General features: G+C 48.2%; 1 long non-coding RNA gene across 2 annotated transcripts in view; it reads left to right on the top strand.

The window, feature by feature from the left end:
* LINC03036 (long intergenic non-protein coding RNA 3036) overlaps positions 1-20,046 on the top strand; it is a 245,028-nt gene that overhangs the window by 106,830 nt on the left and 118,152 nt on the right. Inside the window, exon 3 of one of the 2 annotated variants that reach the window (NR_186541.1) lies at positions 1,322-1,385. The exons of the other annotated variant lie outside the window; for it this stretch is intronic. This is a non-coding gene — a long non-coding RNA (long intergenic non-protein coding RNA 3036). The remainder of the gene's footprint in view (positions 1-1,321; positions 1,386-20,046) is intronic. 2 annotated transcript variants of the gene reach the window in all.

Below are 20,046 nucleotides of genomic sequence, written 5' to 3'. Positions count from 1 at the left end.
TGGCCTATATTTCATTTTAAATACCTACAAAATACTTTCTATTTCCCTTATGATTTCTTCTTAGACCTATGAGTTATTCAGGGATGTATCATTTAGTCTCCAAACATTTGAGGACTTTGCAGAAATCTGGAGTTTTCTGTCCTCTCTCCTTTCTGGTACATTGTCCTGTGAACTCCAACTGCTGTGACCTCCCTGGCCTCTCAGCTGTGTCCCCTCAAACTCAGGAATTCTCCCAGGTGCTGCCTGATTCTCCCTCTTTGTGCTGCGGTCTGGAAACTGTCCCAAGGCAACAAGCCAGGGCAATTGTAAGGTTCATCTGGTCTGTTTTATGACTCTCTGGGATCACAATCTTTTATTGCCTAGTGTTCAGCCTCTTGACAACTGTAGTTTCAAATATTTTTGTCCAGCTTTTAGTAGTTTCAGGCAAGAGGGTTTTATGTGGTCAGATTCCACCTACTTTCTGCTTTAAACTCACTGTGATTGCAAAAATCAGAACATTTTGCCATCTTTCTCTCCTTATCCACTTTTCCACAATGTTTTTATTACCTCCACGTTCTCTCTGAATTCTGTGACTTCATGCATCCTTTTTACTCACTAATCTTGATTAGCATTTATCCTCCAATGCAATAGATTTCTCTTTGATCGATGCTATGCAATATGCACACAATGCATTTCTTCTTCACGCTCCCACCCGTTAGCCAAAGGACAAGGAGCACAGCTCTGCCATCTTCATGTACACATTTGCTCTGTCTTGCTACCCAGAGTGCTACTGTAGGTGTTTCTCCCCTTCAAGCTCTTCTATAACCTTCATTCCAGAGTATTCCTCCATCGCCTTCTTTCCCTGCACGATCCTAGACCAAATTTTCCTCATCACTGGCTCGTAATAGCCTTGTTCTTTCTAGGCCCACTATTCTACACATGATGCCATCGTAGGTATTTCTGTAAAGCACAGTTTTGATCACAGCACACCTCATACATCTTCTGTGACTTCTACTGTACTCAGAAATTATGCCCAAGGTTTTTGAGTTCCTTCCTTCATAAAGCCTTTGTCCATCTTCCAGTTGAATGTTTTTTCTCTTCTGGGCCCCTGTGGTGGGTTTGTTTTCTCCTCTAATCATTGTACCCATCATTTTCTTCCTTGAAATGAGCTGTGGACTGCTGACTCCTTCGTAGCCCATAATCTCCGTGAAAGTGCCCTGGAATCAGGGCACCTCAGAGAGCCTTGTATGTATTAGGTGCACACAAAATATACCATGTGCCATCTTGTCTCTGGTTGGCACATTCTCTCCAGCTGAAACAGGCCCTTTTCTCCATGTTTCAGGGCAGGTGGCCATGGACAGACTCGCCAGTGTTCTTCTAGCACCAGGTTCTTCAGCTCCAAATCAGTAAGTCTAGGGGTTGGGTGGGGGGACTTATTGGTCCTGCCTGGGCATCATGGCTTCCTTTGGACCAACCCTACCCAGTTTTTAAGAGAACTAAATACTATAATGGGTCACAAGTCCCAGGTGTGGAGGTAAATAACAGAAGAAGGAAGACTGAGAAGCTTGCATGTCATACAAACAATTGTGTTCTACACAGTGGGAACCACTCCTTCCTGTATCCAGGGAATGGCTGCTCATGTGGGTAACTCGGTTTTGAATTGGTGCCTCTCTGGACTTCACTCCCAATTGTAGGTCATTAAAGCCCACTTACCTCTCTTAAACTCAGGTGTCATTCTAAACATTTTATGCTTGCTTCTGAAAATCGTATTGAAATAAACATGATTGTATGATCCATCAAATTCTAACACAAATTGAAAGTAGCACATTTCTACTTCCTTGTATAAATAGTATTAAATCCCTAGGTATCCATTTCACACAATACCCCTGTATATGATCAAACATGTCTAATCTGAACTTCTTGTGCATGGAGCAGTCTGGATTAGAGAAATAGCTGAATCCTGATATTTATTTTACATCATTCATGTTTCCTTATTACTGATTAGAGTTCTCATCTTAGGCCATTCTCGCATTGCTATAAAGAAATACCAGAGGCTGGGTAATTGAACAAGAAAAGAGGTTTAATTGGCTATGGTTCTGCAGGCTGTATAGGAAGTACGGCCCTGGCACCTGCTTGGCTTCTGGGGAGGCCTCAGGGAGCTTCCAATCATGGCAGAAGGCAAAGGGGAAGCAGGTACATCCCATGGCCAGAGCAGGAATGAGAGAGAGTGTGTGGGAGCATCACACACTTTTAAACAACCAGATCTTGCATGAACTCACTCATCATCAAGGAGATGGCGCTAAGCCATTCGCGAGGGATTTGCTCCCGTGATCCAAACACCTTCTACCAGGCCCCACCTCCAACACTGGCGATTACATTTCAACATGAGATTTGGTGGGGATACAGATGCAAACCATATCGGTTCTTCTATAGACAAACATAATTTAATCTGGTTTAAGTAGAAATAATCTATTAAGAAATTTAGGGCCCAGCGCCTGGCTCAAGCCTGTAATCCCAGCACTTTGGGAGGTCGAGGCGGGCAGAATGCCTGAGGTTGGGAGTTCGAGACCAGCCTGGCCAGCATGGTGAAACCCCGTCTCTACTAAAAATACAAAAATTAGCCGGGCGTAGTGGCAGGTGCCTGTAATCCCAGCTGCTCGGGAAGCTGAGGCAGGAGAATCGCTTGAACCTGGGAGGCGGAGGTTGCAGTGAGCCGAGATTGCGCCATTGCATTCCAGCCTGGGCAACACAGCGAGACTCTGTCTCAAAAAAAAAAAAAAAAAAAAGAAAGAAAGAAATCTAACCAGTCTACAGAACGGTTGGGGTAGCTGAAGAGACTCTGCCAGGATCCATCCCAGTACCCTTCTCTCTCATGTAATTCGTTCCCACAAGTCAAAACCTTGTGAAAGCACCTCTCTGTGCAAAGAGTGTGGTAGACCAGGTGCAGTGGCTCATGCCTGTAATTCTAGCACTTTGGTGAGGCTGATGTGGGTGGATCACTGGAGCCCAGGAGTTCAAGACCAGCCTGGGCAACATAGTGAGACCCCATCTCTACAAAAAAAATTTAAACATTAGCCAGGCATAGTGTTGCATACCTGTAGTCCCAGCTACTTGGGAGGCTGAGGTGGGAAGATTGCTTGAACCTGGGAAGTGGAGGCCACAGTGAGTCATGATCACACCATTGAACTCCAGCCTGGGCAACAGAGCAAGACCCTGTCTCAAAAATAAAAAATTAAAAAAATTAGCCAGGTGTGGTGGCACACACCTGTAGTCCAAGCTACTCAGAAGGTTGAGGCAGGAGGACCACTTGAGCCCAGGAGTTTGAGGCTGCAGGGAGCTATGATCACGGCTCTGTATCCCAGCCTGGGTGACAGGGTGAGACCCATTCTGAGAGACAGAGAGAGAGAGAGAGAGAGAGAGAGTGTGTGCACACGCACATGCATGTGTGGGTGATATCATGAACAGCGGGTAATTCTGAGTAAGTCCCCTCCTCTATCTGGGCATCACTTTCTTCATCTGTCGGGTTATGGGGTTTGACTAAGATTTTTTTTTTTTTTTTTTTTTTTTGAGACCAGGTCCTCACTCTGTGAATGCAGTGGCACAATCACTGCTCACTGCAGCCTTGACCTCCTGGGCGCAAGTGATCCTCCCACCCCAGCCCCCTGAGTAGCTGGGACTGTAGGTATACACCCCCACCCCTGCCTAATTGTTTTTTTTTTTTTTTTGTATTTTTGTAGAAACAGAGTTTCACCATGTTGCCCAGCCTGCTCTCAAACTCCTGAGCTCAAGCAATCTGACCATCTCGGCCTCCCAAGTGTTGAGATTGCAGGGGCGTGCCACCGTGCCTGGGTGACTAAGGGTCTTAAAAGTTCCTTCCAGTTTGAATAGTTCATGACCCTCTGAATTTTCACACAATAGCAGATTCAGAGAAGGAAATCAATGAGTCAATAGAGGAAGCTTTTATTTTTGATTTACTGATGGCTGCCTGTTTCCCTAAAAGGATCTGAGGAGATGAGTGCTCTAGATGTTCCATATGCAGCCATATGTGTCTTTCCCTAAGGGAGATTGGTTGTTCTTTTCAACATATAAACTCATTAGTGCCTTAGAAAAGCCAGGGAAATCCCCTTCTGTCACTGCTGCTACCTATTGCAAAACAGTTCTGGTTTTGGGGCTCAGAATATCTTATGCCCTTAAGCTGGATAAAATATGTAAAGAAAATAAGATTTAGGGGCACAGTGCAACACGTGCCCTGAATGATCTCATGGTAGAAATCTAATTTTGCTTCTATTTATTTGGGGTTATAGATAGGATTATATTTCTCAGGCAGAGAAAGTCATTAATCAAGAAAGGGGCCTCTTAATCCTTTTCCCTATTTTAATGAGACACTTTAAAATGCCTTGCGTTGGTGAATGGCAAGTGTCAGCTGGGTGTGATTAGCAGGCTTTTGTGGCAGGTTTGCCGTGGTACTGTGTGCTCAGGTATTCACCGGCCTAATCCTGCCTGCCTATCACGGGGGCAGAAATGGACAAAGATGGCTTTATGGCCTCACTCAAGTTGCAGGCTGGTGAGTGGGCATTTGAGAGCTTTGGTGCCACAGTCTGGACAATGGCATATGGGATACGTTCTTAGAAATCAGCCCCCCAGTATTAGCGTAGCCCCTAAGCAGAATCTCCAAAGTAAATAATACATACCAGCAACAGAGTTTCACCGTCAGTGTATGGGTGGGTCCCTCCTTCATTGAAATCAGAACGTCTAACCTGGTAGAAAGGTGCCAGAGAACTGGGAGTCCCCCTGTTCCCTCTGTCCCCTCTCTTCCCTCCCTCCTTCTTTCCTTTCATGGCCAGCAGCTGTGCTCATCACTGGGGAGATAGTAATGTATAAGACACCAGTTCCTGCCTTCAAGGAGCCCAAAGGGTAGGAGTGACAGATACGTTGCATTGATCAGTTATGCGGCACAGTAAACAACCTAAAGAAGAGGTTCAAGAGTAAGTGCTGGCCGGCTAGGTTCGGTGGCTCATACCTGGAATTCCAGCACTTTGGGAGGCCGAGGCAGGTGGATCACTTGAGGTCAGGGGTTCAAGACCAGCCTGGCCAACATGGTGAAACCCTGTCTCTGCTAAAAATACAAAAATTAGCTGGGCTTGGTGGCGCATGCCTGTAATCCCAGCTACTCAGGAGGCTGAGGCATCAGAATCACTAGAACCTGGGAGGTAGAGGAGGCAGTGAGCTGAGATCACACCATTGCACTCCAGCTTGGGTGACAGAGCGAGACTCCATCTCAAAAAAAAAAAAAAAAAAAAAAAATTAAGTGCTGGCCGTGTGCAGTGTCTCCCACCTGTAATCCCAGCACTTTGGGAGGCCAAGGTGGGAGAATCACTTGAGGCCAGGAATTCAAGACAAACCTGGGCAACATAGCAAGACTCCATCTCTAAAATACATATATATAAAATATATATTTATAATATATAATATATATACATATATATATGTAAAATATATTAGCCTAGCATGGTGGCATGTGCCTATAGTCCTAGCTACTCTGGAGGCTGAGGAAGGAGGATTGCTGGAGCCCAGGAGTTCAAGGCTGCAATGAGCTACGCTGGTGCCACTGTACTGCAGCCTGGGCAACAGAGTGAGACCTTGTCTCCAAAACAAAAAAAAAGAAAAAAGGAAAAAAAAAGAATAAGTGCTTATTTTGTTCATGCCCCTGAGAATTGGCTGGAGGTTGGCTGATCTAGGCTGGGCACAGATGGGGTGGCTTGGCTGGGGCAGGTCTTCTCCATGTGCCTTTCGTTCTCCTAGACTGGCAGGCCAGCCAGAGCATGTCCTCCGCATGTGTAGAAGTTCACCAGCGTGGGCAGAGTCAAGCCAGGCTGCTTAAGGCCTGGGCCTGGACTGGGCATGCCGTGGCTTCTGCATTATTCTATTGGCCAAAGTAAGTTACACGACTCAGCTGAAAAATCAAAGGGCAGGTAAATATGCTCCTCCTTAATGGGAAAAATCCCAAAGTTACATGACAAAGTGTGTTGATGTAGGAAAAGGGTAAAGAATTGGGGCCAGTAATGCAACTGATCACCTATGTTAACCAATTAGAGCAATAAAGCATCGTATTAGCACTCTTTTAGTTGCAAGCATCAGAAACACTTCTCAAACAAGCCCAAGCTAAAAAAGAATTGCTGGGCTCACGTAGCTGGGAAGCCTCAGAGCTGTTTGACTATGCACAGCTGGATTCAGAACTCAGATGATGATTTCAGGGCTGTGATTCTCTTTTGTCCTCTTGGCCTGGCTTTTCAATGTGTTGGCTTCATCCTGCAGTTGATTTTTTTAATGCAGTTGGGTAAGATGGCTTCAGCAGGCTGGGCAAGGTGGTTCACACCTGTAATCCCAGCACTTTGGGAGGCTGAGGCAGGCAGATCACCTGAGGTCAGGAGTTCGAGACCAGTCTGGTCAACATAGTGAAACCCTGTCTCTACTAAAAATACAAAAATTATCTGGGTATGGTGGTGTGTGTCTGTAGACCCAGCTACTCAGGAGGCTGAGGCAGGAGAATTGCTTGAACGTGGGAGGCAGAGGTTGGAGTGAGCCAAGTTTGAGCCACTGCACTCCAGCCTGGGCGATAAAAGCGAAAACTCCATCTCAAAAAAAAAAAAAAAAAAAAAAAAAAGAAGGTGACTTCAGCAGTTCCAGGCTTCTCCAGTCTTTATTGCTGTCACTGGAGGAGGAGAGACCCTCTCTCACACTAGGAAGCATACACCAAAGTCTTAGAGAAGTCTTTGGCCCTGGTTAGGCCATGTGTGCATCTCTGAGATGGAGTATTGTGACTGGCTGGTCTGTGTCATGTGTCCAGCCCTGTGTTGAAGGGGCAGAAGGACCTGAAATAGGCAAACCAGGCACAAATAAAGTGGGGGAAGGTCGTTCTCTCAAAGGAGCAGCAGTGTGTTTTTACCAGATGGCAGAGGAAAGGGTGCTGGGCACACACAGGTACCAGGTGTCACTTCAGTAAAGGGTCCTGTGGGGGCAAAAAGGAAGGCGTAGAAAGATCCTACTATTTGTTCCTCTGTGGCAGACACATCCCATTGCTGGTCCCAGACAGCCTTTAGTGCTATTTAGTGACAACATAAGAGCCAATGATGTTTGGAGCAATATGCCACCACCAAGAAAGACAACTGGTCTGGTAGGCAAAGGGGTTCATGACCCAGCTCCGCCACCCAAATTAGGATGAATGGACTATGCTGGCCAGGACGAGGCAGACACCAAACTGGGTCACTAGATGATCTGTAAGCTGCCTTCCAGCTCTCATGCTTGTAGTTCTGTCTTTGACCTTGATCACAGGTTGAGCCGGAGCATCTCAAAGGTGACTTTTCCACCCCAACCATGACCTGGTGCTAAGACCCTTACGTGTGGTTGAGGTCAGGCAGAGAGCTGCCGGGGCTGCCAGTGGCATTTGTATTGATGCATTTTCTGATGCAGCGTTTTGGCTTTCAGAGAAGCCAGCGAAGTTTGCTGGGGGAGTGTGGGAGGTGAATGCTTTAACTCCACATCCTATCGAGCACACACATCTCTGTGTGCCTGCCCTGGGCAGGCAGTGGCATTACAAGCACATAAGCCGGACATGGCCCTGCTCTCAGAAAGAAGTCCTGGGATTTAGTCTTGGGCATGTCACTGAGCCTCTTCCAGCCTGTTTTCCCATCTGTAAAATGGGAATGATATATATCCTGCTAACATCACAGGGTTGGTTACGGGAGTCAGTTTACAGAAAAGCAAATGCATGAGAGTATTTTGTAAAAATGTCATACACCAGTAAGGGATTATATTCAGAGAGAATCCCTATCTAATTGGAGCAGTGATACCATCTGTTTTGTAGTGACAGCTGTGCACTCTAGGGATTCCCAGAAGGCACCCACCAAGTGACAGACTTTTATACAGGCAGCTGGGCTACAGAGGAGCAGCATAGCAGAGGCGGGCTGTAGGGCATGTTGGAGATAGCCTCGTGATCTCATCCCTGAGACAGAGTTGCTCACAACCCGGTTTGGATATTTGTCCCTGCTCAAGTCTCATGTTGAATTGTAATCCCTGATGCTGGAGGTGGGGCCTGGGGGGAAGTGTTTGGATTATGGGGGTGGATCTCTCATGGTTGGTGTTGTCTTCATGATAGTGAGTGAGCTCTCGAGAGATCTGGCTGTTTAAAAGTGTGTGGCACCTCCCCAACTCTTTCTCTTGCTCCTGCTTTCGCCACGTGAACTGCCTGCTCCTCCTTCACCTTCTGCCATCGTTGTCAGCTTCCCGAAGCCTCCCCAGAAGCCCAGCAGATGCTGAGGCCATGGTTCCTGTACAGCCAGCAGAACCGCGAGCCAGTTAAACCTCTTTCCTTTATAAATTACCCAGTCTCAGGTATTTCTTTATAGCAGTGCGAAAACTGCCTAATACACTCTGTGTAAAACTGTTGGTCTGAGGGTCAGACTAGGTCCCTAGTCTTAGACGCATCAGAAGGCATTCCTGACATCTCTTGGGCATCAGCTCTTTCAGCCCCCTCTGCTTGGACCAAGCAGTGATGAAGGGAAGAGGAGAGACCACAGCTTGATGGTGAGTCTCACCTAGAAGCTCCCTGCCCTGACCTAGGCTTAGCCCTGCCCCCAGCCTATCCCTTATATGACGTTTCCTTCTCTCATTCTGCTTTTTGTTAAGGCTCTGGAGGTCTGGCCTCTTTAAATAGCACATCAACCCCCCGGAGGAGGGAGGTACAGCCAGGGCTGCTCATGTCCTTGAACTCTGTGGCTGGCTAGGGGTGGGGGCAGGAGGAGGCCTCAGACTGCAGAGTGGGTGCCGCTCTGGAAACACTGGGCTGGGACAAGGGTGCCATCTCCTGCTGGGGCCAGTCTGGAACGGGTCACTGCATGTTGAGCCTCTGTTCCACCTGCTTCCATGAGGGATTGGCAAGTAGGGGTCAAGGTAAAAACACATTTGTGTATACAGGGGTGTATACAGGTATACAGGGGTACACAAATTAAAGATAAAAGAGACCAGGCACAGTGGCTTACTCCTATCATCCTAGTGTTTTGGGAGGCCGAGGCAGGAGGATAGCTTGAGGCCAGGAGTTCAAGCCCAGCCTGGCCAACATAGTGAGACTCTGTCTCTAAAAAATAAAATAAAATAAAATAAAAAATTAGCTGGGCGTGGTGGCATGTACCTGTAGTCCCAACAACTTGGGAGGCTGGGGTGGAAGGATCCCTTGAGTCTAGGAATACGAAGCTGTAGTGAGCCATGATTGCACCATTGCAATCCAGCCTGGGAGACAGAGGAAGAACCCCACTCAAAAAAAAAAAAAAAAAAAAAAAAAAAAGATGAAAGAGAAACTAGCTGGATAAGGAGAGATGGTGACAGAAGCCAGAAATTACATACTTCCTTGTGACTGAGGTCTAAATTTGGCCCTGAACTTTTTGGCAGACAAGACAAAAAGAGCAATATGACAGGTTTCTTAGTCTCTTTGTTTAATTGAAAGAAACAAGTGTTCAGTGAGGGCAAACTTTCCCCTTCTGGCACAAAGTTGTAGAAGGAATTTATCACCTAGGGCCTTATCTAAAGAATATTGGGTAACGTAAATTCATTCATTCCGCAAACAGAGGAAGTATACAAGATGTTGGTCTCATCAGCTGATGCCTTGTGAGTGGAAGCATTTGTGCTCTTTGCTGTTTCTGTCTTTTTCTTTTACATTTCTCCTCCCATTCCTACCTCTCCCTCCTCCTGCCCCCTCTTTGATCTTTGTTGTTATAATGTCTGTGTTTCCTGCTTGACTCTATGCCCTGTGTAGACAGGGGTCTGGTTTCTCTTGCTGTCTGTTGGTTTTCCACATATCAGGGAGGCTTCCAAAAATGTTGAGATAATTTAATAAGTAGTGGTTTAAGGGGAAAACAAGTTATTTTGTGGGTAATTGGAAGGACATCTAATCCAGAACTGGGGGCAGTTGAGGGGGGAGATACTTTCCTAGGGAAAGTGACACTCAGCCAAGATTTGAAGCACTCATAGAAATTAGGTAGAGGTCAGCTGGGTGCGGTGGCTCACGCCTGTAATCCCAGCACTTTAGGAGGCTGACATGGGCAGATCACTTGAGACCAGGAGTTCGAGACCAGCCTGGCCAACATGGTGAAAGCCCATCTCTACTAAAAATACAAAACATTAGCCGGGCATGGTGGTGGACACCTGTAATCCCAGCTACTCGGGAGGCTGAGGTGGGAGAATCATTTGAACCCAGGAAGTGGGGGTTGCAGTAAGCTGAGATCATGCCACTGCACTCCACCCTGGGTGACAGAGCAAGACCCCATTTCAAAAACAAAAAAAGAAATTAGGTGGAAGGTGAGGGGTGAAGACTGTTCAGGGACAGAGGATGTCACATCAGCCATGGCCTCTGTGCAGAGGGCCAGGGGTGAGTGGGGAGGGAGAAGGCTGGAGAGAGAAGTGGGAGCCTCTGAAGAGGAGTTACACTTTGGCCTGAAGACAATGGGAGTCCTTGAAGGGCTGGATTTGATCAACTGGGCTTTGGAAAGATGACTTTAGCTTGAACTGGAGGGGAGACCAAAACTATAAGCAGTGAGACCCAGGAACCTGGGTGAGGAATGATGGTGACATAGACTAGAGTGAGCCTCTGCTTGGAGAAAAGTGGGCAGATTGGGGGAAAAGAGAGAGAGAGAAAAAACAGAGTGTGTGTCTTCAGCCTCTAGAATTGATGGGATGTGGGGGTAAAGGAGGCATGAGTCTAGAGTCACTCCCAGGCTCCATGCTTGGGTGACTCAGGGTGGTTGATGGGCTTTCATTAGATGGGGAACCCACGAGGAGGGGCAGGCTTTATTGGGGGAAAATAAAGAGTTCGGCATAGAAAGGTTGTTCTTGAGATCCTAAAGAATACCCCAGAAGAAATGTCTGGCAGCACATGGTTCTGCTGCCAGGAGGCAGCCGGCAACTGAGATCAAGTTTTGGAGTCATCAGTCTATAGAATATAGGCAAAGTCAGGAGGCTGCCTGAAAGCCCCAGAGAGAGACGGAATGGAAAGAGGACTCAGACTGGACCCTGAGAACTTGAACATCTCATGGCCTGGCGGAGGAAAAATAATCATCAAAGGCAGATGGATACACAAACAAGTGTAGTGTTATGAAGGCCCACGGAAGCCAGCTGTCGAAACTGGCCATTGGGATTTCAAGAAGGCCAGCTAGGCCAAGTGCCACTAAAAGGTCAGCAAAGATAAGGACTGAAAAACATCTTTGGCATTTAGCAACAAGGAAGTCACCGATGACTCTTGCAGGAACAATTTCAGTGGGAGGTGGTGGCAATGGTAGTGGTGGTACTGAAGCCAGAGCTAGTGGATTTAAGCATGAGAGGGAAGGTGAGGAGAGAGAGGAGTGGGGACAGTTCATTAAAAGAAGTTTGGGTGTGAAAGGAAGAATAAAGAAAGAGAGGAGGTTGTAGAGAGAGGTGGGATGAGGAGGTAGAGTTATTATTATTATTTTTTTAAAGACAGGAGAACACAGTGGTTTATGGACAGTGTTTTCAGCTGCAGTTCTGTCCAAGATATAGAAATGGTCTTTGGGTAGTTTCATCCGTGAGTTCTTCAAAAATTCCAGGAAGATACTTCTGGATAAACAAATATGATCCAAGAATTTTGTGGGAATCTCACCCAAGAGGGGACGGAGCTCTGTAAACCCAGAGTGGGGAGAGGCAACGTGTCCCTCCGGGAGGATCTGGGGTATCTCTAGGCTTAGTGAGAGGAGCAGGATGGCTGGCAGCCACTCACCCAACGCAGAGCTCGTTGGCCTGCAGTTGTCAGTGCCCCTCACCCCACTGCCTGGCCTGGCTCCTTGGAGGTGGCGGATGCTGCAGTCCCTCTGTATAGCAGTTGCCTGGTATGACCCAGGAGTCACCCTCCATGGCATCCTATTGGTGTGTGTGTGCTGAGCGCAGCCAGCTACCAGAACTGGCCATTGGAATCCATGTGGGTCTATTGAGAGGGGACAAATGGCAGCCCTCATGTAGGTGGCTGGAAAATGCCTAATGATGAGTGGATTTGCAGCATGAGGGAGGGGAATCATTAATATTCATGTCCTTGAATTTAATCCCTGAGCTGCATCCAAACTTTTCCAACCTCCCAAAAATAGGACATTGAAAAAAGAGGGGAGACCCCCACCCCCATCCCCCCCCCCACACAAATCAGTCAATGAAGACTAAACCTTGGAGCTGGGGACAGCTCTTGTGTTTCAGGACCTCCATTTCTGGACCCAGGGACTTGGGAGGACCAGTGAGGGACCTGTTTCCTTCCTGAGTCTACCAGGTGCTGAGAAGCCCTGGGCTCTGGCCTGGGCCTGGCTTTCTGCAGAAGTTGCCTGCACTGGTCACTTGGGTGTGGGGATGGGAAAGCTCCAATTAGACAAGTCCTGAGGCCACATTTCCTATTGATTGGCCAGAGGCGGAGGAGAGGGGCTGGGGTCGAGGGAGAATTTCTATGGTCTGTTCCTCTACCCCCAGGATTATAGAATGGGGGTGTATGAATTTCCTATGGATGTTTTAATAAATTACCACAAATGTGGTGGCTTAAAGCAATACACACTTATTATCTTGTAGTTTTAAATTCAAGTCGTCAACAGCGCTGCTTCCTCCTTGGAGGCTCTTTGTGGGGGTTCCATTCCCTGCCTCTTCCAGCTTCTAGAGGCCACCTGCAGTTCTTGGCCCCTTCCTGCATCCTTCAAGCCCGCAGCACCGCATCCTCCAGCTCCTGTCTCTGCCTCTGCGATTACATCACCTCCTCTTCTCTCACTCTTCTCCTTGTACCTTGTGAGGAGCCCTGGGATTACACTGGGCTCACCAGGATGACCCAGGAGAATCTCCCCCGATGAAGACCCTGAACCACCTCTGTAAAGTCCGTTTTGCCGTGTAGGTGACATTTCCACAGCTTCTGGGGAGTAAGACCCTGACATCTTTGGGGACCACGGTTCTGCCTCCCGCAGTGGGTGTCTGGCTCAGGGTTGTTTCTGAGTGATGCATGGCACCCAGGAGTTATGTGATGGTTCATAGGGTATGAGGAGGAACCTGCTCTGAAGCCCACCTGCCTTCCCACCTGGGAGGCTGTATTTTTGTCTCTGCTATATATTGGAGTTATTCGGAAGGTTTCATTTGAAGAAAAACATAGAAAACCATGGATGTAGTGCAATCCTTACAGAATGAGGCCCAGAGAGGGAAGATGATGGCCCAGTAATGAGCAGTGAATAATGGCAGAGCCAGCGCTAAACTCTGGGCTCCTGTCTCCCAGGCAGGTGTCCTTTTTACTGGCCCTTCTCAGGGATAAAACGACAACCAAGAATGGTGTGTATGTCCTCATTTATTGTCACAGTAACCCTGAGCAAAAGCAGAGGGTCATTTTTATTTTGCCTTTTTTTGGGCCCCATTTATGGTGAGAAAGGCCCCTGTCTGGTGAGGACAGGTGAAGTTCCTAGTGTGTCACCAGGAAGGGACCAGTACTTTGGTGAGGCCTTCAGACAAGCTCCCATCCCCCCAGACTTGGCCTTCTCTCTCGTTCCCTTCTGTCCCTTCCTTGGCCTCTGGCTAATTGAAATGGCTATCAAGTCAGACACAGCCTTGTTCCTGCTCTGGGGATTCTAGGCTGCAGAATGTCATTAGATTAACTGTGAAGGTTTTCCATGCATGCTGGGAGGCAGGGGTGCACGGGACGTGGCAGGACTCGGGGGCCACTCTCCTGAGTGCCTGGAGATGCAGTAATTCAATCAGGGAGTGCAATGCCTCCCCCAGCCTGGGCCAGGCCCAGACACACAGTCCACCTGCCCGGGAGCCAGACGGATTCTCGAGATGGAGCAATTACATTTAAAGCGAGCTGTCTGAACTGATTTTTCCCCTTCATCCTCATCCAGTTCGGCAAACCCTCTTCCCAGCATCGTCTTGGTTAGCGGCCCAGACAGCCTGGACAGGACTCAAATGGCTGGCTCCAGATTGTGTGCTCTGCACCCTGAAACGCCAGCTCCCGTCCATCTGCCACTTGCCTGCGCAGTCCCTCTCCTGGCTTCCCCAAAGTCAAAGACACTGGGACACACCCTCTGATCTCAGGGGCTGGGCAGCCACGCCCAGCCACACAGCCGTGCAGGGCCAGACTCCTGGGTCAGAGTGTACTTCAGCCCCATGTGAACAGCACCTCCTGGAGTTGTGCAGGTGGTGCCCGGTTCAGGGCAACCCTGAGGGTCAAAAAGAAGGGATTGTTCACAGGACAGTTACTTGCATTCTGAATCCTTTGTGCCTGGTCTACAGTGGGGGCTGGGGGAGGGAGGAAGGGCTTCTCTCTCCAGGAGATGAGAAAGCCCCATTTCATCAGTCACTTCCATCTGACCCGATAAACGGACACCGGGATGGTGGCCCTGTCATCAAGTTCTGTCACATTTGTCTGGGTGGAGAGCCCAGGGGCAGGAAGAACAGGGCAAAGACAGGAGTCTAGAAGCGGCTCTGGACAACGTTCTGGTGTAGCTTCTTAGAATGAACAAATGTCAGTACTCAAGCTAGAGAAACAGGCTGAGTGGGGCAGGGAGGGCTCACAAGCACACAGCGAGGGGAGGTGAGGCAGGCTAGCCTCTTGCTGTTCCATGAGCTCCTGGGCACAGCTCTTGGGCTCAGGCACAGTACCTGGCTCATAGTGGATGCTTAATACCTGTTGGTTGAATGAACCAAGGGGAGCAACAGTGATGAATCTTAGAAGATAAAGTATATTTCTTCTCACCACTTCCCCGGGCCGCTTCTTCCTTCTTCTCCTCCTCCTCCTCTGGCCTCCTTCTTTGGCCAATAACAAGTCATGTCTTCATTTCTATAGCCCCAGTACCTAGAACAGGGTTTGGTATGCAGTGAATGAAGATGCTCAATGAAGATGTGTTAAACAGGTCAATATAATTGGGGACAAGGTGGCTGGTCTTGAAATAGAGTCTACCCTCCCCCATTATGAAAGGGAGCCATCTTTACCAGGACTTTGGCACAGCTGAGGGAAGTTCTGGGAGTGAGGAGTCTGTACCAGCGCTGGGTTGGGTGCCGGGAAACTCAGGTTCTAGCCCCTGTTGTGTGTTGTAGGTAAAGTTGCTTCTTTTCTCTGGGCTGCAGTTTCCCCTTAAGACTTTCTCAAGATGTTGGAGCTGAGTGGGACCCTGGGGACCATCTAGCCCAACCCAAGAGAAGGGAGTTGGGCTAGATGATCCCCAGGGTCCCATTCAGCTCCAACATCTTGAGAAAGTCTAGGGGGTTCTGATGAAGCCCAGGGGCCCCAGGATCATGGGCCCATGGCACTAGTTTCTCATCCCAATGGATCTGGGGAAGGTGGAGAGTATCCGTTTCTTTTTTTTTCCCCAAAGACTTCCAGGCAGAAGAGACTGGAGCAGCCTGGGTCTCAGGAACAGAAATCTAGAAGGAAAGCGGAAAATCAGGCCCTGGTCTTCGGAGTCCCTAGGGAATGAGTCCCCAGCTGCCCAGGGAAAGAGGGCCTCTGTAGAGGGGCGGAACTAAATCATCAACTGGAACTTGATGGCACTGCAGCAGATGACATCCCAGCTCCACCGAGACAAATTGCTGATCTTGAGACACCAAGTGGCATTGCAAATGCCATGTTGCTGGTTCTATGGTGGGGGTCACTTCTGGGGAGACAGGTTGGGGCCTAGGGACATTAATAAGCTGATTAATGTCCTCAATGGCCATTAGGAGGGCCTTGGTTATTTGGAATTTCAGAGTTAACCCCAACCTGGTCTGCGAGTGCTGAAGGAGGGCAGGGAGCCCCAGGGGTGACCTACAAGTTTGTCCCTGGAATTGCTGAGTAACCCAAATGACCTGGTGACATGTGACGGCTCTTACGTCTTCTCCAGTACTCTTAGGGTCTGCTTTTCTCCTTTAACTCATTCTTGGACCTTATTTCAACCTTTGTTAGGTTATAGTCACGTGAGCTCTCTGAACAGTGTTATTTCTTTTTTTTTTTTACTTTTAAGTTCAGGGGCACATGTGTAGGTTTGTTACGCAGGCAAACTTGTGTGCCATGGGGGTGTGTTGTACAGATTATTTCATCACCCAGATATTAAGCCTAGTACCCATTAGTTATTTATCCTGACCCTCTCCCTCCTCCTACCCTCCACCCTCCGATAGGCCCCAGTGTGTGTTGTTCCCCTCTATGTGTCCATGAGTTCTCACCATTTAACTCCCACTTATAAGTGAGAACATGTGGTATTTGGTTTTCTGTTCCCGCATTCGTTTGCTAAGGATAACGGCCTCCAGCTCCATCCATGCCCCTGGAAAGGACATGATCTCATTCTTTTTTATGGCTGCATAGTATTCCATTGTGTATATGTAGCATATTTAAAAAATCTAGTCTATCATTGATGGACATTTAGGATGAATCCATGTCTGTGCCATGGTGAATGGTGCTGCAATGAACATATGCATGCATGTATCTTTATAATAGAAAGATTTATATTCCTTTGGGTATATACCCAGTAATGGGATTGCTGGGTCAAATGATATTTCTATCTTTAGGTCTTAGTGTTATTTCAATAGCTATGAATGCCAAAGTTTAATTATTGGGGTATATACCTATATACAAATATATGTGTGCATGTATACACAAGAGAAAAACACACAAACTCTCAATGCACAGGTAAATATCTGTAGTCATATAAGCCAGTTTTTCAGGGAAGCTAGGGCTATCTCCAATGAGCCTGTTCCTCCCCTCCTTCTGTATTTTGTCTCCATGAACAACAAATTCACTGAGAAACCCAGAGTCCTCTGTGACTCCCTCACACATGCAATTAACCATCATACCCTGTTGATTCTGCTGCCCAAGTGGCTCTGGGTTCCCCCACCACCTCCTGCCTGGAGACACAGCCTCCTCCTCACAGTTTTCTGGTCCATGGGCCTCTGCTCGGCACTTCAGCTGCAGCTTTGACTGCTCCCTCTGGTCTCTGTGCCTTGGCCCTTCCATGGCCTCCCGGTTCCCTGAATATGCCAAGCCCCTCCTCTGCCTGCATTCCTCTGCTTGGGACACTTTTCTACACCACCCCTGCCTCCAGCACCTGAGTATTTCTATAATCAAATGATTATTTTTGCTGGTTCCTTGGATTCATCCCAGACGCCCCTTCCTCCTTGCAGCCTTCCATATTGCCTGTGATGTGATACTGTCTCCACTAAAATCAGTTCCAAACCTGCACAGGAGTCTATTGGCTGTACCTCCATAGTGCACCCTATACCTAGATCTAGATGTATTTTGAGATAAGATCTTTCTCTGTTGCCCAGGCTAGAGTGCAGTGGCGTGATCACAGTTTACCGCAGCCTCTACCTCTTGGGCTTAAGTGATCCTCTCACCTCAGCCTCCTGAGTAGCTGGGATCACAGCTGTACATCACCACGCCTGGCTAATTTTGTTTATTTTTTGTAGAGATGGGGTCTTCCTATATTGGTCCAGGCTGGTCTCGAACTCCTGGGCTCACGTCATTCTCCCTCCTCAGCCTCCCAAAGTGCTGGGAATACAGGTATGAGCCATCATGCCCGGCTACTCATATATATATTGTTTATAAATATATAAATGTCTTCTCTGTTCCACAGTTATAGATAATGCTATATAGAATTTTCTTGATCTTTGGGAGGCAGCATTGGGTAGTGACTGAGAAGGCTGGCTCCGGGTTTGGATGCTGCCTCTTTTACTATATACAAATTGTCTAAACTCTTCGTGTCTCAATTTCATCATCTGTAAATTGGGTGTAATGACAGGATTTACTTCAAGGGTGGTAAGAATTAAACGATAAAATACACATTTTTTTTTTTTTTTTTTTTTTTGAGACAGAGTCTTGCTCAGTCCAGGCTGGAGCCCAGTGATGCAATCTTCGATCTTGGCTCCCTGCAACCTTCACCTCCCGGGTCCAAGCGACTCTCGTGCCTCAGCCTCCCGAGTAGCTGGGATTACAGATGTGTACCACCACACCTGGCTAATTTAGAAAATACGCATTTAAAGTGCTTGAAATAGCAGCTAGCATAGAGTAGGTGCTCACTTATTATAACCTATTTTTCTTATTATTGAATTCATTCCTTACAGATATATTCCCTGGAGTAAGCTTATTGGATCAAAGGTTAGAAGATTTTTATGGCTCTTGAAATGTTTTGACAAATTGCTTTTGAACAGATCGTACTTTTTTCACTCCCATCAGCCAATGCGCGAGTCACAGCTGGTTGCTCTCTCCTGTCTTCCTGCACAGTGTGCGCTGGAATTCAAAACACAGGTTTTAGAAGATGGGAACCATGGTGAACTCCCCGCTGGGCTTCCGGACCCTCCACCTAGCCACGCCCATCCAGCTCTCTTCCATGACTGGTTCCTATGACCTCTCTTTCATTGAGTGTGCTCTATGCTGCTTGGCCCTGCATTTTTCTCTGGTCATTTTGTGGTACAATGATGTATCGAGATATTAATTTATTTTTGTTCTCACTGCAATTAGTGTCTTTCCCTCTTCATTTCAAGGTGGCAGCCAAGCCTAGTTCCTGCACACTGCCAGGCTTTGTGTTGCAAGGCATTGTGGGACCAGATGGCAGTGTGGGGCTAGGCAGGGCTGGGAAGGAAGACCATTGGGGCTACCTGTCTGAATTCAAGCTCCGGGTGTTGAAGCACTCAGGATCAGGGTGGCAGATGGCAATGCCAAATCAGGTAGAGCTGCCTCCAGGGTCTGGGAGGGCAGGGACTTTATCTGTTTCACTCCCTGTTGGATCCTGAGCACCCAGCACAGGGTGGGGCCTGCTTTGGAGGGAGCAGAGGAACTGGCAGATCTCAGGGTAGGGGTGAGAGCAGACACCCAGACCTAGGAGTTGCCCACACTCATGGGAAGAGGGGAGGAGGGAATTTGGGAGCCAGGAATGGTCCTGTCCCAACTCCTGGCTCTGGCAGGCTTGCAGGCTGCCCTTCCAGGCCATGCTGGCTGGTGGCCTGGAGTCACCCCTACTCATGGTCATCATTGTTCTTTGACTTGACCCTTGGTACAGGTGGCAGCAGCAATGACTGGAGAAAGTGAAGGTGCCTAGGCTGCCAGTCAGCAGCAATAACTGTGGTGGGATATGACTGTTGTCCTGCAAGCTTGGCTATGTAAGAAGTACCCAATACCTCTTTGAAACCATATTAACTCTGACCTGTTTAACCATATTAACTCAGGCCTGGCAGGCCTGATCCTGCCAGGCTGGTAGGGTCTTCCATCCTGATTGGGGCTCCTTCCCTTGGCCCAGGGCCCCGTGCAGGTCCTGGGACTCTTGGGCTGACCAAGGGCTCCTGCAGCTTTCACGGCTGCCCATGCTTGGCCCTGGGAGTCATGGTTCCCCAGCCAGCCCCTCTGCCAACTGCCGGGTGGTCTTCACAATCACTTCCCCTAGAGATCCTTCTACCCTCCCGGCTGCTGGGGGTCTCCATCCAGAGCCTGTAGACCTCTACCTTCCTGCCAGGCTTGGAGAAGCACCTCCCCAACCCAATTTCCTGCTGCTTCTGCTCTCTTCAGAGATGCTCAGCTCTCTCTTCTCACCTTCTGGATTATCTAGCGTCAGTCTCTCAGTGAACTGGCACTCTCAGAAGCCAGGAAAAGAGTTTTTCTGCAAGCAACCTCTATTTCAGGCCCTGAGTGTGCAAGCTTCCCTTGAACCAATGGGGTGCTCAGGCTCTGACTCCCTTCTTGGAAAGGGGGATGGAGAGTCTGTGAGAAAAATGCGGCAAGAACAAAATGCAGATTCATATCTCAATAAATGACCTGTCACCCCCGCGCCAGCCATTCTGGGCATGTGGTATGAGTTTCATAAATTCATGCCAGTTGTCTGACTCCCTCTCCACCACCAAAATCCCCTGACTTTATTTATTTATTTATTTATTTATTTATTTATTTATTTATTTGAGACAGTCTTGCTGTGTCGCCCAGGCTGGAGTGCAATGGTGAAATCTTGGCTCACTGCAACCTCCACCTATGGTGTTCAAGTGATTCTCCTTCCTCAGCCTCCTGAGTAGCTGGGATTACAACAGGTGCATGCCACCACACCTGGC

The sequence above is a fragment of the Homo sapiens genome, chromosome 10, assembly GCF_000001405.40.
Source record: "Homo sapiens chromosome 10, GRCh38.p14 Primary Assembly".
Lineage (NCBI taxonomy): Eukaryota > Metazoa > Chordata > Mammalia > Primates > Hominidae > Homo > Homo sapiens.
This window is presented reverse-complemented; position numbering and strand designations above follow the sequence as displayed.